The following is a 22870-nucleotide window of genomic DNA, read 5'->3' as shown; positions in this document are numbered from 1 at the left end:
CAGCTCAGGGTGCAAGGCAGGAACCAACCCTGGACAGGCCATCAGTCCCTGCAGGGCACACTCACACACACTCACAATCACTCACACTGGGACCATGTGGATACTCCAATGAACCCAAGGGGCATATCTTTGGGATGTGGGAGGAAACTGGAGTATCCAGAGAAGACCCATGCAGACAATGGGGAGAATGTGCAAATGCCACACATACAGTGGCCCTGGCTGGAATCAGTTTTTTTTTTTTTTTCTCAGCCTTGTAACAAAAGGACGTTGAATGAAACGACATTGAATGAAACGATGTTATTCAAGGACCTGCAGCACAGTTGTTTCCCTTATGGAGCTTCCATTTTAGTTGAAGAAAAATAATAAATATATAAACTAAGAAGACAATTTCAGATATTGATAAGGGATAGAAAAGGGATACAACAATAAGTAATAACAGGAAGTATGAGGGGTGTTTTGAGTGGTGGGCCAAGGGCTATTTAAACTAGAGTCTGCAGAATTGCTATTAGAGCTGAGATATAAATGATAAGAAGGAATCATTGGAAAACTTGGGAGAACACTCCAGGTAGAACAGCAGGGACAAAGAGCAGGAAGGAGCTTTGCAAGTTAGAGGAACAGAAAGGAAGCCAATGTGACTTGAGTGTAGTCCACCATGGTAATGAACAAATGGTATAAAACAGTCGAAAAAGTCAGGCAGGTTTAGATAATTCAGGTCTTGCAGGATACAAAAAGGACTTAAGGTTTTATTCCAATTGCCATACAGACCGCTAGATGAAATGAGACTATGGAATCCTCTTAAATGCTAGGCTTTGCTTCCTCCTGTAAATTCTTCCACCTTCTCCAAGTGCTGCTCTTCAGCCTAACACATGCCCCATTTTTATCATGATGACTCTCCAGAAAGGCATGAGATCCCAAACAGACGCATCTTGCCTCACATAAATTGTTTGTTATGCTAACGTCAAAAACAGACAGATGTGGAACCAATCAGGGGAATGTAAATTACAGGTCGCTTGATGTGGAGTAACTTCTGCATGTTGGTCAGTGTAGGTGCGCAGCCAAAAATGCACTGTGTGAATACAATTGTTTGGCAATTGCTGATCTGTCACTTGTCCAAAGCGGTAAGTGTGTGAATGGATTTGTATAGGTAATGATTCTGAAATTAGCAACTAGCTTTTCTCATCTCTCCATGATGCAAGAAAAACATACTGGAACTTGGCCCATTTCTGGAAAATTCTTGTGATGATCCTCAATTTTTCAAAATGCACATTTGGTCATCATTATCCCTTGTGTAATCAGTTTCTGCAAACTACAGGATGATGTTAGTTATGTTTAGAGAATAAGGGAACATGCTCTACACCTTAATCAAATCATTTAAAGATGAGCCTTCTTAGATAACACACATTTAAATATATATATATATAGATGGTCGTTGGGAGATCTAGTCTATACTTTGATTTATGCTGTAGTGAGAGAAGTAATCTTGTCTTTCATTGGAAACCTGCAGATGCAACCTGTCCCCAGAACTCTAAGGTATTTACGATAAATAATATGCGAGAAGTGTTTACCACACATTTTTCCACAACAAAATGATGCACAGAATCCACGAATGCAGAAATCTTTGAAAGGGCCAGGAAACAGTCAGGAATTTGGACCCAATCAGTATAGGGAACTGCAAGTGCGTGTTAAAAAGCTGGATCCACGTGAATAATAAGCCTAATCCCATTTTCTTTCTTTTTTTTTTTTTTTGCAGATGGAGTCTCCCTCTGTCGCCCAGGCTGGAGTGCAATGGCACGATCTCGGCTCACTGCAACCTCCATCTCCCGGGTTCAAGCAATTCTCCTGCCTCAGCCTCCTGAGTAGCTGGGATTACAGGCGCCCGCCACCACAGTTGGCTAATTTTTGTATTTTTAGTAGAGATGGGGTTTCACCATGTTGGTCAGGCCGGTCTCGAACTCCTGACCTCAGGCGATCCGTCCGCCTCGGCCTCCCAAAGTTGGATTATAGGCGTGAGCCACCGCGCCCGGCCACCTAATCACATTTTCAAGACAGCTGTGGCTACTTGGGACTCTCATCAGCGGCTCCCGAAAAATTTAAAAAAATCAGTTACTGTGAAAATTTATATTAAACTAAGACCGGACTCTGCAAAGAAAATAAAACCATGTAATTCCAAGGCTACATATTTTCAAAGGAATTTAATTCTGTCCTCTGAATGCAATTAAGTAGTCTCTCTCTCTCTCTCTCTCCGTTTGAGGAAGAGAGAAGGGAAGAAGGGATGATTCTCACTTTTCACTAGGAACCGGTAACCATACCTGCTGTTCTGCCAAGTCTTCGCCGATTCTCTGATTTCTTAGTGCTCAGGGAGTATGCTTGAAACCTATGCCTTCCTCCCATGTTAGATAACCAGAAAGTTTGCTGTAGTTATGATAAATCTGCATAACTCGGAGATGTTTTTGGCACAAAGTGTACGTTAGTTAGATGATGATGATTAAGCTCCCCCCCCACCCCCGCCCCATTCTTGCGGCCGGGGAGTGTGTTTTGCCTGTATTTAAGAAATATCGTTCAGCTGCAGGCGTGTGCGCGCTTAGGCTGTAGTCGGCGTTTCTGAGTCTCCAGGGCAGGGTGACTTGGGTCGGCTGAGTGTCACCCACAGATGTGACTGTTCTTTCCCCCGCGGGCGCGACAGCCTCCTTCCTCTCCAGCCCGAGGCCCGCGGCCCAGACCACGGGAAAGGGAAGGAAGCCCTCGCCGCAAGCCGGCGTCTGGGCCGGCACAAAACGCTCCGCCACCAGAAAAACTTTTTTCCCCCAGCTGCGCGCAACTTTTGGCCTTTTCTCCCAGCACGTTCGCGTCCCAGGTTTCTGTCCGCTGGGTTTTCCTCCGCCTCACTCGCCTTCTCCCCAGCGGCGCGCGGAGGAGCTGGGCTGAGAGGGTCGCGGGGAGCCGGGTCGGCCGCGGCTGGGACGCTGGGGAAGGGGCAGGGGAGGAGGGGGCGTGCGGGGCTGGGGAGGAGGAACTGGTCAAAGGGGACAGAGACGCCCGAGTGCCCGAAAAGGAAAGAGCTGCCGCGGTTTGCTGCAGTCGGAATAAAGTTCGCGCCCTTTCCTCGGCGTTTCGCAGCCTCCTCTCCTTGCTCCGCTCCCCACCCCCGCCCCGCAATTTTTTTTTGTGTGTGTGTGACAGCTGGGCGCTAGCGGCCACCTCTACCTCCACGCCCGCAGCTCCCCGGGGGGGGGGGGGGGCGCCAGGGTTGTTTTTCCATCCCCACAAAGTTGTTTTTTCCATCCCCAGAAAGAGAGAGCAAGAACAACCCAAACAACAAACAAGCCCCCAAAGAAGTCACGGGGCGGTGGGGGGAGGGAGAAACATACATCCTCCTTCCCCAAGCCCCTGGACCTCTGAGGACAAACAACACAACGACCGACTTTTATTTTGCAAAAGGGAAGCAACATTGTAGTCACGACAATTCTGCAGAGAGAGGAAAAACTTGTGGGGCTTGCACGGCCGCCGAGGTCACCTCGCCCGCCGGTCCCCCGCCTCCCGCGAGCAGGGCAGCCCCCTCCCGGGACAAGCCGTTCCCTTTTTTTTTTTTTTTGTCCCGAGGAGGAGCCGGGGAACCGTGCCGGCTGGGACTCGGGGCGCGAGCGCGACCCCGGCGCGAGTGTAAATCAGTCACCTGAGCGCAGAGGGGCCGCGGCGAGGGCGCGCGCGGGCGGGCGGGGAGGCGGAGGCGGCGAGAGCGGAGGCCCGGAGGAACTCGGAGGGGGAGGGAGAGAAAGGCCGAGACGGAGGGAGCCAGCGGCGGCCGAGGGGCTGGTCCAGGCGCGGCCGCTAAGAGGAGACCAAGAGGCGGGGGCTGCACTTGACAACCAGCATGCCGAGATGGTAAGAAGTTTCCACCCTCCTTCCTCTTTTATTCTAGACTTCCTCAGAAATGACCCCCGCGCCCGAGCGCCACCGGGGCCGCCCGGGGGCCGTGTCCGCCCTCCGGCCCGCGGCGTGAGGGGCAAGGGGCGCTGAGGAGGGCGGGCCGGGGACCAGAACCCCGGTCCGACCTGATCCCCGCTGCGCTCCCAGTGGCCTCCCCTAAACTTGGCCCCAAGTTTCTGAGGCGAGCTCTAGGTGGGAGGGTGCACGTGAGAGGGGGCTTCTCAAGGTCGGCCCCGCTCGCGGCTTCCGCGCGAAGGTGAGCGGCTGGCTAGGGGAGGCTCCAGGGCGTTGGGGACGGGCTGGGGGGACGAGGTGGAGGGGAGTGGGGGATGAATGGAGCGCTGGCAGGAGCTCGGGGAAGAGAGGAAGGCGGCTGGGACCTACGGGAACTTTTACAACTTGCCGCCGAGTGAGGGACCGGCGGCTGGGCGTGGGTGCCGGGTGCGCTGGGGCGCAGCCGCCCGGGCCCGGCACGTTGACTCTTCCTCTCCCCTTGTCTTCACATTCGGAATCTTCCCGTGGTAAATGGAGATGGGAGGAAATGCTCCCGCAGGCTTTACGGAGAAGGTGCAGAACGCAGGGCAGGAAAATCAACCTTGCAGAGACGGCTCTTTTCGAAGTGCAATTCTATAGGAGCCGATTTGTTTTACTTGCACGTTGACTGGAGGGTGGGATTTGGGGCCTGGGGAGGGAGCAGAATAAAAAATTATATATGCTGAAAAACCCTAGGTGAAATCTCCTGTGAAGTGAGTTTAAGGTTGAAAAAAAGTTCCAAGTGCAAGTGGTGGAGGAGATGGGCTGGCTTTGCCAAGCGAGACTCCAGCACAGCCCCTCTACGAGAAGCGACTTCTTTGCAGCGAGGAAGCGTGCAATTAGTTCGCCTGGTGATGAGCCGCTCTGTCCGCTTTCGGGGAAGTGATTTGTTAGAAATGGGGCTTGACCACTCCCTTCTTTTTAGTTTGCTTCCTCCCAGCGTCGCTATTGTTACCCCCACTTGGGGATCTGACATGGTGTATTCCGTATATAGAGGGAACATATGAGAATACAGGTGAGATAGCGGGTTGGCATTTTTTCCTCTTCCCTGCTCCCTAATGTGACATCTCTTGTTTCAGTGATCAAAGTCACAACTGGAGTGTAGGAGATGGGACTGTCAAATGCAGGGGCGCGTACACACACACACACACACAAAAGCAAGAGCCCAGGACTGTGGTTACAGTAACGCTGACAGAAATTAAAGTGGTTTTGAAAGCAGCGTGCGATTTATGATGGTTCCCATTTACCCTAGAGTCAAGCTGTTGTAAAACTGACGTACAAAAGACATCATAAAATAATCCTGTGTACCCAGGATTAAAGTGGCAAAAAGTGGCCTGTTTTATTTTTATATACTTCGTGGACACTTGGAATTGTTGAAAGCCGTGTTTAAGTGAGACATCACAACAATATTAAATATATCTGTTTAGAGCTTGAGAGTTTTTCTTCTAACGGGCGTTTTACACAAGAACACTGTAAAAGCCGGTGGCAGGTATTATTTTTCTTCCCTTTACCCTAGCCTATGTTAACTATTTGTCTACACATGTATTCCTATATCCTAATGACTTTGAACTGTGGCTAAGCCTGTCTGCCTTCCACTGCTTTGTATTCTGCAATTTCACGTGTTACTGTCCACACGCATACATGCTTTAAATGGGAGGAATTTATTTCTGGCACGTTACTTAGTGTGTCTGATCTGAAGATGTACCCTAGTAGTGAGACCTTGTACAAGTTAACAGAACATTTACTTTTTGGACAAACACACACACACACACAATCCCTTGTGAGCCTTTAGAGAGTATCTGTGTTTTATATTTGTAGCCGTTTCATGTAAACTGTTCAGTCTTAATGAAGTTCTTAGTTCCCAGAGTGCGCTGTATTAAAAGTCCAGATTGCTAATCACTTTACCAAAGTACAGGAGTATCTTTACCTGAGGGAAGTAATAACGAGCTTGAACCTGAACTTTGTTTTGAGTATCTTTTGAGAAAGGTCTGAAACTTTTTTTCCTCTTGAGAATATTAAGTTGGGTGGTGTTTGCATGTAAGACTTTGAATAAGAATAAACTGTGCATTATATTTTACAATTAATATTAGGAAAATGTTAATAGCAGTACATTCCTACTACCTGATTTTTTCTTCTATTTGAGATGTAAGATATCTGTCAGATAGAGATATGTGATTACAAAAAGAAGCAGACAAAAGCAGAGCTGACTATTGCTATATTAAAATGTAAGTGTTACAGTTTGAATTTTCAAGTGAGAGTTCTTGAGTTCAGTGCTTTACATAACATTTTGTCCTAATCTTGCTTGCTGTCAGGGATGTTTCATGGTTGTGCAATTGCTGCAGTCAAGAATGCCAATTTGCATTCCAGGAGTGTCATTTGATTACTTTTATCTGCACAGCTCCAAGACCGGCCCAGACCTCTCGTTTCATCTTGCCATGTCACGAGTCAATGCTGTGTCGTCTTTTCAAAAATCTGCCTGATTTAGACAAGAAAGAAAAGTACTTTCATGTTGCAGCCGCAGTCCCCTGCTAACTTGTCAGCAGCAGGATATGATTCACTTGGGCCCAGAAGAATGGAACAGAGAGGCGGGTTAGGCGGTTCAATAAAGCCCACGGACAGGTAGTGTGTGACATCCCCAGAGAGCCGCAGTTAATGAAGAACAGGTCTGCTTAGTTCTCCACACGCTGACCTGGTGCTGTCCCCACAGTTTTCTCATTTGATCTTTCCCAGCAAATTGATCTTTTCTTGTATTTTTTTGCCTTCCAAGTTAGTCCTTGTGGGACTGAAATTAGCAGAGCAACTTAAGTTGGATAATACAGCTGTTCAGAAAAGAAGAAATTGGACACTGGCTCAAAAAGGGGTGGGGGTGGGGGGGTAGAGGGAGCTATTCTTTTTGTTGTTGTTCCTGGGAATATTTCTTATATTAAGGGAGTCCAAAATAGATGATGACTTGAAGTTAGTGGTTTCCTTTACTTTTAATTTTACAGTTAAGGGTTCAGCACGGTTTTAAATATTCCTTAAGTATTTGAAAGATGGCCTTAGTGAATATGAGGAGTTCAATTTAGTACTGTTCACATTCACTTGTTTGAGATGATTTGCCAGTTGACAATGTGGCTTTTATGGTTATTGTAAGATGGCATACTTCAACTGTATTATTTATAGTCTTCTAAACAACCTACGATCCCCAAATATCCAATACTAAATTGCAGGTAAGATTAAACAATAAAAAAGTCATTATACTAGTATTGTGTATAAATACTATGGTACATGAAAATGTTTTCTATACTATTAGCATCTTTGTTTTATATAAACCCCACAGATACAGTTCATGAAGTGTTTTTTTCCTGAATTTTTGAGATTCTGCATTTAAATGTAGATTTTTAAAACTGAGACCAGACCACAAGTTTGAATTTCTGTGGATGTTCATACATGTTGTTGTTTTTTGACATTAAAATTAATTTTAGACAGGATGGGTAAATTTATGTCGTATGGTTTAATCTGATTAAAGTTTCACTATAGAATTCTGTACATAAAGCTTAGGTTGGAAGCAGTTTATAGATTCTTAACTTGATAAATATATAAGGAGCAACGCTTTCTGATTTACTCAGCAGATGGTCTCATTTACCATCTACATCCTTACAAGAAACAGAGTGGAAAACATTTCTTGTGGAAGGGGAGGTAGCCTCCTCAAATCTTTCCTGTTGGATGGGAATTATATAGTATCATTGGTTAGTAAAATCCCCTCTGAAGAGCTAGAGGGAGCCTCATGATTTTATTAGATATACTTAAGGTTTAAAAAACACTCTGGCCATCAGAATGTTGCACAAAAAGAGTAGGTAATGAATACTGGCTCAGTGTTGAGGCTGGGAGGTGCTATTATGGTTTTTTTTTTTTTTTTTTTTTTAAAAGTGACAGAAGCAAAAGAACTTTCTACAAGAACAGTCAAGGCGTCAGCTAAGCTTTCTAGGCTTTTGCCTTTCAGGTGATTTGAAGATCAGGCAAAATGCAACCAGATACTATATTTTAAATGTTTTGGTTTGACTAACTACTGTTTGTAGTTTTTGTCAACTGAGGGAGTTACTCTCGTTTTAGGAGGCCAGTCTTCAGAGTTCTATTAAAAGTAGCTTCCTACGAAATCACCGAGAAGTGGGTTAACTTCTTTTAGTTTATGAAGGACAACCCCTTTTCTGTAAATGATGGTTTTGGAGTAGTTCTACATACAACTTCTGTATTCCAGAGAGAAATTTTCTTTAAAATAAATGCTTCCTGTTATAAGCATAAATGTTAAACTATTTATAAACCTGACTTATTATGGATCAAAAAATAAGTTAAAGAAATAGGATTTAAATGATATTACATTCAATAATTGTCATTTAATTTCATATTTACCACTTTCCATTAACATTTGTGATACAGTTATGTTAAAGAGTCATTGATCATAATTGCACTTTAATATTTATATACTAGTTTTTAGGAGCATTACTTTAGACAAACATATTTATCATTTAAGTAAATAATATAATCCAGTGAGATAAACTACCCAGATTTGTCCTTCTTAAAATCTTTTGCACAGTAGCTCTCATTATGTTGCTAGCCAATAAAAGTCTTTATTTGTTGCTTATTAGAACCCTCAGTACACTCAAGAGTTCAGCTATAATTTAATTTGGCTGTTCAAAGAGCCTCCCTTGTTTTGAAATATATTCTCAGTATGCTTTTACCATTTGTTACGAACCCATATTCTAACTCAATGCGTAAGAACCTATATTCTAACTCAATATGCGTAAGAATGATATTACAGATATATCATTCTTTAAGTTTTTGCTATCGTCATAACTTTTTTCCTTTAAAAATATCCGTACATAACAATATCAGTTTTGTTCTTTTTGCTCTATTTTCTCTTTGACATTCTAGAGTATTTTTCTCTTGGTGATTTAAATTGTTTTGCTGTTATAATTTAAAATAAACTTCCTAAGGAATACAACCTTCCCTTGAGGTATAGTGAGAAGGGCACCAAAAAATAATAGGTTCGATAATTAAGAATTCTAGCTGAGGCCATTTCACAGTTGCAATCACTTACAATTACAAAAAGTTTGCCTGGTACTTCACAAATTGCTAGTAACTGCTGTGAAGTTTTTCAATGAGTAGAAGGTGGCTTTGAGAGTTTTGGTTGTATTTGTAACAAATTACGTTCACTAAAGACTAGAACTTGACTATAAAACTCTAATAAGATGAGTATCAGGAATTCTTCCATAAGGAAGGCAGAATGTGAAACTCCTAAATGACTCACTGTGTATGTATCTTACCAGTGGGAATAGCATCAAGCCAGCCTTCTAGATACAGTATTTAATAGTTGTCAAAATGTACAGTATTGTCTTGGAACTTGTGGTTCATGAGTTCATAGTCCCTGCTTTTTTGTGTTTATTACAAAGATGTAACAACCTACACAAAACATTTTTCTCTTATAATGACCTTACATTTGCCAAAGTGCCCCATGCTGAAATTCCTTTTCAGTGTCTTTTTTTTTTTTTTTTTCAGTCCAAAGCCAGACGTGTACCCAGACACAAAAGCCTCTGTGTATAGCAAGCTGTTTTAAATATTGTGACTCGACGATGTGCTGTCCTTTCTCTGCTTGAGCCAAGGATCTCTGCTCAGTGTCTGTGGATTACCAAGCTCCTTCTTTATTGTACCTCTTGTCAACTATTCCTATTCATTTAACCTTTCATTAGTGTCTGTGCAGCTTCACTGTCTGGAAAGGCAAGGAAAAACCGAAAGGCCCCACTGTCACAGTTATTAGATTTCTCGGTTACATCCCAGCAACCGTAAAGAAGTAAGCGTCGAGACTATTGTCGTGCATGCTGCTGTCCTGGGGTGCAGCTCTTCTGTGCATGTCAAGGACATGTGCCACATGTTGATATGCATCCCAGGGATAAATGCACAACATGGGGGATAGGCCGACGCTGGCAGTAATGAGCTTTGTAGGAGTTATTGCAAAGACCAACAGTTTGTGAAGGAATTTTGCTTAACAGGCCAAGGAGATAGACAGAGTTGAGGGTTGCCAAGATTTGCCTGTGCGGGGCTTGTCAGTCACATTGTTTTCATCCAAACTTCATTTGAGGGGAAAATTGAATACATTTGACAGCAATGGAAAGTCTTATTTTCTTTTTTCAAATCTTTCAGAGGACAAAAGCAGTATTTCTGGTGACTAACATAACTATTTTTAGTACTGACTAAATCATATATATGAATGGATCTATTAGCAGTTTATCTTTTTCCATATCTAGAGAATAATTAAAAGATATTTCATAGATGTCATATATATGTTTTAAAATCTATGTAAAAATAATGTAGCCTATTAATTTTCCTTTGCTCTTTTCCTCCTTTGATTTTCCTCTAGCATAGCCTGGTTCTTTAGAAATACATTTGCTTAATTGGCTAGATGCAGAGGAGAAAAAGGATGATAATGTGGTCATTTTCAAATCATAAATAAAATAAGTATTTGTAAATTTTGTATTGGAAAATATTATTTTAAAATCTTAGAGATGAAGAGAATTACCTTTTTAAGAATTCTGAAAACACTTGAATAGAAAATGGTACATTATAATACATTTGTCCCTCTTTACCCAAAAGTTTGTCTTTTTTTCTTTTTTAAACTAGGAGAACCGTTTTTACTGAGGGTAAATAAAATATTTTTGTCTCCTGATTTCAACAGATTTTGTCAGTTTTCCAAACTCTTTTGGGGTTCTCCAATAACTTTTCAAATATGTTAATGACTTATTGCCAAATCCCTGTAAAGTTATTTTTAATTTTTCTTGACCTTACCTCTTTTAGGCAAGGCTTTTTAACAGTTGTACTTTCTCTGTTAAGGTTTTTTTTGAAACGGAATCTCGCTCTGTCGCCCAAACTAGAGTGCAGTGGCGTGATTTTGGCTCACTGCAACCTCCATCTCCTGGGTTCAAGAGATTCTCCTGCCTCAGCCTCCCGATTAGCTGGGACTACAAGCGTGCGCCACTGCGCTTGGCTAATTTTTGTATTTTTAGTAGGGACAAGGTTTCACCATGTTGTCCAGGCTGGTCCCGAACTCCTGACCTCAGGTGATCCACTGGCCTCGGCCTCCCAAAGTGCTGGGATTACAGTGTGATCCCACAGTGAGCCACTGTGCCCAGCCACCTCTATTAAGCTTTTCTTAGTGTCTTGTGAAAGTATGGGCTAAGTTATCCTTGTTTTAGGGAGAGAGAGTTATTTTTCATAGTCTTTCCCCCAGGTGGGATGCTAAATGCCCAGCTATCCTATCCTAGGGCTATGCCCCAGCCTTTTGGCCAGCGGGCGGAAGTACTGTGTAGAATATATTGAGATGGGGCAGGGCGTGGTGGCTCATGCCTGTAATCCCAGCACTTTGGGAGGCTCAGGTGGGTGGATCACAAGGTCAGGAGTTCAAGACCAGCCTGGCCAATATGGTGAAACCCCGTCTTTACTAAAAATACAAAAATTAGCTGGGCGTGGTGGCGGGCACCTATAATCCCAGCTACTCGGGAGGCTGAGGCAGGAGAATCACTTGAACCTGGGAGGCGGAGGTTGCAGTGAGCCAAGATCTCGCCACTGCACTCTAGCCTGAGCGACAGAGCAAGACTTTGTCTCAAAAAAAAAAAAAAAAATCTATCTATATATAGCTATATATAGATGAATCTGCCGTGGTCATCTAAGGCTGGTGACCTTCCCACAGAAAAAGCATGAGTGTCTTAACATTCCTTTTTCTAACAGTTTCATTTCCATTTATTATGGTTTGTGTTGGGAGTAGTAGAAGAGAAAAGAGGGACTTGTGAAGATGAAGGCCATAATTTTAACTCTTCCCCTGGCAATGAAAACCCCCAAATTAGAACAAAATAGGTTAGTGCTGTGTGGTAATTAAAGAGAGAGGAATACATGGCAGTAGCTACTCTCTGCAGGTATCCTGCACTTGTTCTTTATCCAGTCAGTATCTCTACGCAGGTGACTGGCTGTTTCTTGGAAGGCAGTTGTACTGTTGCCTGTTAGAGACTCAGAACAGCGCTGGGACGGGGTATCTATAGAGGCCCTGTTCTATTCCACCTACTTTTGATAGCCTGTGTTCTCTCATTTGTAAGTCAAGTGAGTTTGGTAATTTCTAAGTGCCTTTCCAAATGGTACATTTCATATTTTATATAACACTATATAATCATAGCAGTTTGCTGTTATTAGCTTTATTGAGATATAACTCACCCACTTAAAATGTACATTAATATTCCATTTTATGGATGTACTACCTCTTATATATCCATTCAATGAAAGCACATTTGGGTTGTTTACACTTTTTGAGTAATGTGGCCCTGAACATTCATGTACAAGTTTTTGTGGACATAATGTTTTCATTTCTCTTGGGTATATGCTCAAGAGTAGAATTGTTGGATAGTATGGCCTATCTACTTATAACTTTTTGAGGAACTTCCAAATTGTTTTCCAACGCAACTGCAGCATTTTACTTTTCAACCAATAGTGTATAATTCTTCCAGTCTCTCTACACCCTCCTCAACACTTGTTATGTGTCTTTTTTTTTTTTGTCTTTTGAGATGGAGTCTCGCTCTGTCGCCCAGGCTGGAGTCCAGTGGTGCAATCTCGGCTCACTGCAAGCTCCACCTCCCAGGTTCACGCCATTCTCCTGCCTCAGCCTTCTGAGTAGCTGGGACTACAGGCGCCCGCCACCATGACTGGCTAATTTTTTGTATTTTTAGTAGAGACGTTGTTTCACTGTGTTAGCCAGGATGGTCTCGATCTCCTGACCTCGTCATCCTCCCGCCTCGGCCTCCCAAAGTGTTGGGATTTCAGGCGTGAGCCACCGCGCCTGGCCCTTGTTATTGTCTTTTTATTTTTACAGATCTTAGTGGGTGTGAAGTAGTATCTTTTTATTTGAATCATACTAGTGACTATGAAGTGATATCTCTGTGGTTTTGATTTGCATTTGCCTGATGGCTAGTGATGTTGAGCATCTTATGCACTTTATTGGCCATTTGTGTATCTTTTCTGGAAAACAGAGACATGTCTCCATTGGCCATTTTTCACTTGGGTTATTTGTCTTTTTATTATGCAGTTTTAAGTGCTGTTTATATATTCTGAGTACAAGCCCTCTGCTAGGTACAAGGTTTGCAAATACTTTATCCTATTCTGTGGGTTGTCTTTATTTATTTATTTATTTTTAAAGAGACAGGGTCTTTCTAGTTCTGTTGTGCAGGTTGGAGTGCAGTGGTATGATTATGGCTCACTGCAGCCTTGAACTCCTGGGCTCAAGAAATCCTCCTGCTTCAGCCTCCGTAGTAATTGGGACTACAAGTGCAAGCCACGATGCCTGGTTAATTTATATATATATATATATATATTTTGTAGAGATAGGGTATTACCATGTTGCCCAGCCTGGTTTCAAACTCCTGGCCTCAAGCGATCCTGTTTCCTTGACCCCCCAAAATTCTGGGATTACAGGCATAAGCCACTGTGACTGTGCGCAGCTGTCTTTTTTTTTTTTTGAGACAGAGTCTTGCTCTGGCGCTCAGGCAGTGGCGTGATCTCAGCTCACTGCAACCTCCACCTCTTGGGTTTAAGCCATTGTCCTGCCTCAGCGTCCCGAGTAGCTGGCATTACAGGCATGTGCCAACATGCCCGGCTAATTTTTGTATTTTTAGTGGAGATAGGGTTTCTCTATGTTGGCCAGGCTGGTCTCTTTAAACTCCTGGCCTCAGGTGATCTGCTGGTCTTGGCCTCCCAAAGTGCTGGGATTACTGGCATGAGCCACCACGCCCAGCCCCGGCTGTCTTTTGACTTTTTGATGGTGCCTTTTCAAGCACAGAAATTTTTGATGAAGTCTAATTTATCAATTTTTGTTGTTGTTGATGTTTCTGTCCTTGGTATGCTATCTAAGAAACTATTGTCTAACCCAAGATCATGAAGATTTACCTCTGTGTTTTTTTTGATAAGTGTCTTACAGTTTGAGCTCCCACAGGGTGGATTCATAGATCTTTAATCCATTTGGATTAACTTCTGTAAATAGTATGAGGTAGGGGTACAACTTTATTCTTTTGAATGTGGATGTCTGTTGTTCCCAGCACTATTTGTTGAAAAGACAGTTTTTCTCCATTGAGGTGTCTGGGTACCCTTGTCAAAAATTAATTGACCATGATATATAAGGGTTTATTTCTGGAATTTCTGTTCTATTCCATTGATCTTTCTGTCTGTCCTTGTGCCAGTACCACACTGTCTTGACTACTGTAGCTTTGTATTAAGTTTTGCAATTGAGAAGTGTGAGTCCTACAACTTCGTTCTGTTCTTCTTTTTCAAGATTGTTTTAGCCATTCTTAGTTCCTTAGAAGTTGACTTTTTAAAAAGCAATTTGGATTGTGGTAGAAAACAACGTAAAATGTATCTTGTTAATCCTTTTTTTTTTTTGAGATGGAGTCTCACTCTGTCGTCCATGCTGGAGTGCAGTGGTGTGATCTCGGCTCACTGCAGCCTCCACCTCCCTGGTTCAAGCAATTCCCCTGCCTGAGTCTCCCAAGTAGCTGGGATTACAGGCACATGGCACCATGACTGGCTAATTTTTTTGTATTTTTAGTAGAGATGGGGTTTCACCATGTTGGCCAGACTGTTCTCCAACTCTTGACCTCAGCATTCTGCCCGCCTTGGCCTCCCAAAGTGCTGGGATAACAGGCGTGAGCCGCCGTGCCTGGCCCATGTTAACCATTTTTAAGTGTACAGTTCAGTAGTGTTTTCTGTAACTTAACGTACAGCAGATCTCTAGAACATTTTCATTCTGCAAAGCTGAAATTTTTTAACCTTTGAATAACAACTCCCGTTTACCTTTTCCTCCCAGCCCTGGGAAACCACTATTCTAGCTTCTATTTCTAAGAGTTTGCCTACTTTAGATGCCTCATAGAAGTGGAATCATGCAGTACATATTTGTCTTTTTGTTCCGGCTTATTTCACTTAGCTAGAAACTTAATGTTCTTAAGGTTCATTTATGTTGTAGCATACAACAGAATTGTCTTCATTTTTAAGGCTAAATAATATTTCATCATATGTATATACCACATTTTCTTTATCCATTCATCTGTAGATAGACATTTAGTTTGCTTTCCACCTCTTGGCTCTTGTGAATTATGCTGTTGTGAATATAAGTATGCAAATAGCTGTAAAAGATACTGCTTTCAATCTTTGGACATATATGTAGAAGTGGGATAGCTGGATCATACAGTAGTTCTTAATTTTTTGAGGAACCTCCATACTGTTTTCTATAAGGGCAGCATCGTTTACATTCCTGCCAACAGTGCACAAGGGTTCCAATTTCTCTACAACCTCACAGCTTATTATTTCCTGTTTTTTTTTTTTGATGGTAACCATTCAAAAATGGTTGAGGTGATATCTCAGTGTGGTTTTGATTTGCCTTTCCTTGATTCCTGATGTTAAGCATATTTTCACGTGCTTTTTGGGCATTTGTATATGTCCTCTTTGTGGACATATCTATTCAAGTCCTTCACCTATTTTTAAATCAGGCTTTTTTTGTTGTTGTTGAGTTTTAAGAGTTGTCTATATGTCTATACCCCTTATCAGAAATATGATTTACACATTTTTTCTCACTTTCTATAGTTTATCTCTTCACTCTGCTGATTGTTTCCTTTGCTTTTGCAGCACAGAAGTTTCTTTTTTCTTTTTTTCTTTTTTTTTTGAGATGGAGTCTCCCTCTTTCGCCCAGGCTGGAGTGCAGTGGTGCAATCTTGGCTCACTGCAAACTCCGCCTCCCGGGTTCACGCCATTCTCCTGCCTCAGCCTCCCGAGTAGCTGGGACTACAGGCACCCGCCACCATGCCTGGCTAATTTTTTTGTATTTTTCATAGAGACGGGGTTTTACCATGTTAGCCAGGATGGTCTTGATCCTCCTGACCTCGTGATCCACCCGCCTCGGCCTCCCAAAGTGCTGGGATTACAGGCGTGAGCCACCGCGCCTGGCCAGAAGTTTCTAAGTTTGATTCAGTTCCATTTGTCTATTCTTGCTTTTGTTGCCTTTAGCAGTTTACTTTTAAAGCTCAGATATGTCTGATCCTCAGAAGAGTAAAGGCTACATTAAAAAAGTACATTCTATTGTTTAGGTAAAAAAGTCTTGGTAGTACTCCAGGGGACAAGAAATATGTCATTTGGTAGCCAAAAAATGATAGCTCCTGGTTCCCTGTGAAACACCCTGGTTTTACTTTGATGTTTCTTAATTATCATTGAGTTTAAAAGCATTCTAGGTGTTCCGTATGATAAGAGACACACTTCATGCCCTGAAGGGTGGAATTAAGTACCCAGAAATAATTGTTTTTGGTTTTATAAATACCTCAAAAGGAAAGGGGGAAGAAAACCATTATTGAGAAAATTTGTCTTCCTAGACATCCCGTCATGACTAGAAAAACACCAACAGAGATAAAACTAAAAATTATTGTATGATCTCCAAACCCAAAATAACTGGTCCAGTGAAGTTTTATATAAATAACCATGTTCAAATCTGGTATAGCATATTTGGAAACATGAGCTTGCTTTACAGTTTACCTGGCAAATTTTGTAATTAAAATACCTCATCGTTGAATTAGAGAAACTTGAGAGCAAATGAAAGGTAACTTAATTTAGAGGCAGCTATATTGCTTCATTGTTGAATTAAAAGAAATATTCATTCCCTTACAGTTCTAATTTTCTCTTTATTCATGCTAATAAAGGCTGATATTTATTTTCATCTAAGTAATTGCTTTTCTAGTATTCTGATGGACCATTCTTCACTGCATTGTCTGTTTCTGGCCTTTTGCCAGTTATTTTAGACAAAAGTTTCATTATTTAGTCAGCATCAACTATTAATTAGATATGTAACTGTTCAAATTTATACAAAGCGAGTGTGCATTTTTTCATCATAAGTGTTTACGTACATAAAGAGTAATTATCCAATTTAAAATGATATGATGTATTTTAAGGATAATTTTTTTTTTCCCTAGGGGAAACAATTCTGTGAAAATTCTGTAGAGGATTTAAAATCACTTCTTTTTTTTTTTTTTTTTTTTTTTTTATTTGAGACAGAGTCTCACTCTGTTGCCCAGGCTGGTGTGCAGTGGCACAATGTCGGCTCACTGCAACCTCCGCCGGCCGATTTCAAGTGATTCTCCTGCCTTAGCCTCCCGAGTAGCTGGGATTACAGGTGCCTGCCAACCCGCCCGGCTAATTTTGTTTTGTATGTTTAGACGGGGTTTCACCACGCTGGACAGGCTGATCTCGAACTCCTGACCTCTGGTGATCTGCCCACCTCAACCTCCCAAAGTGCTGGGATTACATGCGTGAGCCACTGTGCCTGGCCTGAAATCACTTCTAAAAATTGTTACAGTAAAAATTTTATGTTTACCAGACGTAAATTTTGGTTACATATACATTTATCCCAATTGACACATTTTATTCATACTGAATAAAACATTAATGTTACTTTTCTATTTTTTATGATGTATTTTGACATGTGTTTAGATGTATGTTTTATATGTATGGACTGACAAAATCATATATGCTATTATTTGGCATCTTATGTGGTTGGAGGTCATAAAGAATGTAAGTAACTGAAACAATACATTTGCTCAAAGAAAGGCCACTCAATTCTCTGCCCTGTGGTATCTAATCTCCCTGTAATACACATTTCACCATCTAGGATTGGAGAAGTTCATTCTATCAACACGAATGCTAACAGGTAGGCTTCTGGAAGTACAATGTGATAGTTCAGATCTTTCTCTGATTCAAAATGGTGATTTAAAAGAAAACATACTTGGCTGAATTGGCTTTTGATAGACTAAAACATTAATTTGCCTTAATGTGCATTAACGCTAAAGGATACTAAAAAACAAAAATTTTTTTAAACCCAGAAATTCTACCAGGTCTGGAGCCATATTTTTCACCCAGTAAATGTCCCTTGTAAGAAATATATTTACACGAAGGGCTGGGTGCAGTGGTGCATGCCTGTAGTCCCAACTATTTGGGAGGCTGAGGCAGGAGAATCATTTTGAGTCTAGAAGTACAAGTCCAGCCTGGGCAAGATAGTGAGATCCTGTCTCTAAAAAAATAAATAAGAAATATTTTCGCTTCAAGAATTTATTTATATCTGTGCATTGGTCTTTGAAGCTTCCCTTTTGTCTGTAAACAGCAACCAGTCGCTGACATGACATATTTGTGTACAAAGGACAGTGATAATTAGATATGCTGGAATTTGTGTGTGTGTGTGTGTGTGTGTGTGAGAGAGAGAGAGAGTGTGTGTGAAGAAATATGGATGAGAAACTGGTAGTTTGCTGCTTCCTTATGGGGGAGGGTAGAAGGCAGAATAGAAGGTAGAATAGTATAGTTGACTGAAATTTTTTTGGAGGGGAAGGGCAGGGTTTACCATTAATGTACTTTCATTTTGCAATAGATAATACTTGATACATTGTTTTTTGTGGTTTTTAACATATATTTATGGATGGCATGGATGAATGTTGAGTGTCTTACTTACTGTTTTACTAGTATGACTGTCAAATTGCATTCCTGAAGTACGGATATGCTAAGGTAATAAATCTGCTAGCAGCCAGCAAGTAAATGTTTACTTACTATATATGGAATAACTTGCTGCAGATTTCCATGAAACAACATTAGACAATTGTGTACTGATTTGGTAAAAATAAAAAAGATGTGGCCGGGTGTGGTGGCTCACGCCTGTAATCCCAGCACTTTGGGAGGCCGAGGCAGGCAGATCATGGGGTCAGGAGATCGAGACCATCCTGGCTAACATGGTGAAACCCCGTCTCTACTTAAAAAAAAAAAAAAATACAAGAAATCAGCCGGGCGTGGTCGCGGGCGCCTGTAGTCCCAGCTACGTGGGAGGCTGAGGCAGGAGAATGGCGTGAACCCGGGAGGTGGAGGTTGCAGTGAGCCGAGATTGCGCCGCTGCACTCCAGCCTGGGCGACAGAGCGAGACTCCGTCTCAAAAAACAAAAAAAAGATGCTTTTAAAAATTGTTAGATTTTGATGTTCAAGCTGTACATTTGGCGTAGGCATGGGACTTCTAATTGCCTTCATTTGCCAAAGTATAACAACCTTTTTTTATTTTAGAATACAACAATTTAACAAGCGTTTGAATTTCTATGATGTATGTGATACTCTATTAGGTGCCATAGGTATTACAGATGAAGTAGAAGCTGTCATCCTAAGAGAGAGCACAAAATTCACTGGTAAAGGGATATTCATTATCTTAAAAGAATTAACCATAGTCCATGGTCTTCCTCTGGCATATGAAGCCTTAGGAACCTAATTTTGTTAACATACCATTGAGAAAGATCACCTTTTCATGGATGCATTCAGTTTGTTCACCAGCTGAGGAGTGGAGATCACACACACACACACACACGCCATGTGAACATGTATGTATCTGTATACCATATGAGGTGGAATACTCATGTACTCATATTGAAATGATTAGTACGTCTTCTCCTTGGCAGGCAAATTTAAATGGGGAGTCAGATTATAATCCAAATGTTGTTCATCTCTTTATGGGGTTGGAATTTCAGCAGAGAATATTAAGGGTGGGATGGGGGCCTGAGGGTCTTCTCCTCCTATAGAGAAATTCTTTCCAGTGACCTGTGATGTTCACGGTGCACACTTTGGACTCCTTTCCTGGGCTGTGCTTGTAAGAGTATTGACAGTGTTTACCCCTCTTGCTTTTTTTCTGCTACCATTGCCCTTGTGATAGACAAATTTCTCTTTCTTTAGATACGTTAATATTCTCAAGCAGATATTAGGCAACTGTCCTGGGAGCTAGTTGTTAAGGTGACTTTGCCTCTCTTTGGTTTTTTATGGATCTAATGCAGATGGCAGTCTCATTTCACTCGTTTCAAATTTTCTTGGGGGATACCTCATGCTACTGCCTTACACATAACATGTTTTGTATACGGATAAGTGGAAATGGTGGAAAAAAAGATATATATTGCAAGAAAAAAAAGACTTAGAAACTAGTTATTAAATACCTGGTAGAGAAAGTTTCTTTTGTTAAATGCCTTATAGAGAAATATCTTGATCTGAAATTGACTTTATATACAGGTGGAATAAACTGCTCTAGAAATCAAGAGGGAGTATGTGTATTTAATCTCTGTATCTGTTTTCTGTGTCTCTTTTCCATCCTAAAATAAGGGTTAAGATTAGGTTTTAAAGATTCTTAATAATTCTGTACATTGTGTGATGCCCACCATCTATTTGTGGTATTATTTTATGGACCAGAAAGTTAAAGCTGTACCTTTAATTTCACATTGGTTAATTCTAGCAGCTTCCCAATTAGTGTCATTTTTTTACCTTTCAATCTTTCCTTCCTTTTAAAACACTTGAACATCAAGAATAATCTGCTATGGGAAGAGAAAGTAGAAAGGAAAGACACTGAACAAACATCCACTTGATGTTAGGCAGCAGGACAGAAGTTGGTGGTCCAGGGAGCAGCCTGCCGGCCTGGTGTCCTTAGGCTCCAGTCTGACTTTAGAAGTCCCATGTCTATGAACTTACATCCATAAGTTCAGGCGACATGTAAGTTTCCGAGCAGTCATAGTACAAGCATGTAATGTGAGAATTTTATTATTTAAACCCGCAGAGCTTAATGAACTCCAAATTTTATTTTATTTTATTTTTTTGAGACAGAGTCTCCCTCTATTGCTCAGGCTAGAGTGCAGTGGCTCAGTCTTGGCTCACTGCAACCTCTGTCTCCCAGGTTCAAGCAGTTCTCCTGCCTCACCCTCCCGAGTAGCTGGGATTACAGATATGCACTACCACGTCCAGCTAATTTTTTGTAGTTTTAGTACAGACAGGGTTTCACCATGTTGGCCAGGCTGGTCTTGAACTCCTGACCTCAAGAGATTGACCCATCTCAGCCTCCTAAAGTGGTGGGATTGCAGGCGCGAGCCACAGCGCCCAGCTGCAAATTTTAAATTTGAAAATGTGTCTGAAATGAAAATAAAGTGAGGGGAGGTGTTGGAGAGAATGGAGAAATTGCACAGGAATTGTAGAACATGGATTAAAATGTAATTAGAAAGTTACGTTGAAAATCAAAGAACTAGTTAAAATGAGTGTCATTATGCTTTTTTTTTTTTTTTTTGAGACAAGGTCTCACTCTCATCACTCAGGCTGGAGTGCAGTGGCATGATCATGGCTCACTGCAGCCTCGACCTCCCTGGGCTCAGGTGATCCTCCACCTTAGCCTCCTAACTGGGCCTACAGCTGCATGCCACCACGGCCAGCTAGTTTTTTGTAGAGATGGAGTTTTGCCATGCTGGCCAGGCTGGTCATGAACTCCTGACCTTAAGTGATCCGCCTGCCTGGGCCTCCCAAAGTGCTGGGATTACAGGCGTGAGCCACTGTATCCTGCCCAGAATACTATTGTATCTTCTAAGTGGCCTAGTACTTCTATGCTTGCCTCTCTCCTCCCACTACTCCTAGAAGACTATCCACAGGTTGATCACTTCTTATCTCACAACCTTCCAGTGACTTCTTATCATACCTGCAGTGAAATCCCAACTCCTTACCATCACTGAAAAGGATATGTAATGTTTGTGACCCAGCCCAACTCTGACGCCGTTTCCTGCCACTGCTCCCTCTAATCCAGCCTTGCTGATTTTCCACAGGCCATAGAACTTTGCTAAGCTGGTACCTACCTCAGCCCTTTGCATGGGGTTTTTCTCTGCCTGTGAGGTTCTTTTTTTTCACACTTTTGCAGGGCTTCCTCCCTCATTTCACTAGAGTCTCCTCTGGAATGTCAGTCCTTTAAAGAGACCTTCCTGCCAACCTTCCCTCCTGTGTCCCTATCAGTGTATGTTTCTTTGGTCTCTTACCCTGATTTTTTTCTTCACAGCACACTGCCGCTTGAAAGTATATTTAATTTTTTTATTTACATGTAGTTTATCTTCCCACCACCATGAAGCCCCATAAGAACAGGGTCCTTTGTCTTACTAATTCTGCATTTCCATTACCTGTAGCAACACTCAACAAATATTTATTGAATGAATGAATGGATGAATATCTCACATATGATTGTCCTTGTGAATATGAACGGATTCTTTATCAATAGTTATCAAAACTTATTTATTATAACCATTGAGAGTTCTTTGGCATCTGCTGCTGAACTTTTCTGAACTGCTTATGCTTAGCTCAGTTGGAATAGTGGTTTCCAGGATAGATGTAAACACTTCAAGGGGTATGCAGAAATCATCCTTTACGATTTGGGGGAAAATATATTAGAAATTTGATTTATCTTGTTCACCTATTTTTGTGTTTTATAGTGTGCATGATATATATATAAGGGGAACATTGTGCTGTCAAAAAAACTGAGACTGGATAGAGCATGATCTGGACAGGATGGTTAACTTTGTTTAAAGCAAAATGTATCTCTGTAGTCAGGCTATTTTACAGATTTTGTGCTTTTGTATAATAAGGCGGTGTGACTGCGGGTGAGAGTGTAAAATCTGTTCCCACTCTTCAAAAGATCACACATCTCATGTTGAGTTGAAAGTGAAATATTATATATGAGATTCAGCATGAATGTGTATATCTATATGTTTTATTTAATATTCATCCTCTGGTGGAATTTACAAGTCTCTTCAGTTCAGGGTATACCTGTTTTGGGGTCCTTTGTACCTGTGCTAACATATGTGTGAGAAGTATGTGAGCTCTTTCAGTGACTGAAAAAATTATTACTTGATTGGTCTGTTTTGGCGTGATCTGGGCTTTTGATTAATCTTTGAATAACTTTTTCCTTCATTTTTAATAGTTCAGGCTTGTTAATGATGCTTCACTGGCTTCTTTGGGTATCTGTGACTTAAGTTTTTAAAAACAGTTTTATTGAGAAATA

The 22870-nt window shown here is 41.6% G+C and overlaps 1 protein-coding gene across 18 annotated transcripts in view, besides 1 other annotated feature; it reads left to right on the top strand.

Moving 5' to 3' along the window:
* BNC2 (basonuclin zinc finger protein 2) overlaps window positions 3858–22870 on the top strand; it is a 461168-nt gene continuing 442155 nt past the window's right edge. For 17 of the 18 annotated variants that reach the window (XM_047423506.1, XM_047423501.1, XM_047423494.1 and 14 more), the window contains exon 1: window positions 3858–3882. In XM_047423506.1, coding sequence (XP_047279462.1) covers window positions 3880–3882 — 3 coding nt within the window. In that variant the 5' untranslated portion in view covers window positions 3858–3879. Of the gene's footprint in view, window positions 4184–22870 lie in introns of all 18 variants that reach the window. The other variant, XM_047423515.1, reaches the window with a different exon arrangement.
* Window positions 5895–7094: an enhancer, noted in NCBI's record as "MED14-independent group 3 enhancer chr9:16867432-16868631 (GRCh37/hg19 assembly coordinates)". NCBI's record gives its function as "activates an origin of replication core promoter dependent on BRD2, BRD4, P300/CBP and CDK7 cofactors, and independent of MED14, by STARR-seq in HCT116 cells {active_cell/tissue: HCT116}" and the evidence as "EXISTENCE:reporter gene assay evidence [ECO:0000049][PMID:35650434]".

The sequence above is a fragment of the Homo sapiens genome, chromosome 9 (assembly GCF_000001405.40).
Source record: "Homo sapiens chromosome 9, GRCh38.p14 Primary Assembly".
NCBI classification, from domain to species: Eukaryota; Metazoa; Chordata; class Mammalia; order Primates; family Hominidae; genus Homo; species Homo sapiens.
The sequence above is the reverse complement of the archived record's forward strand: the minus strand, read 5'-3'. Positions and strand labels throughout refer to the sequence as shown.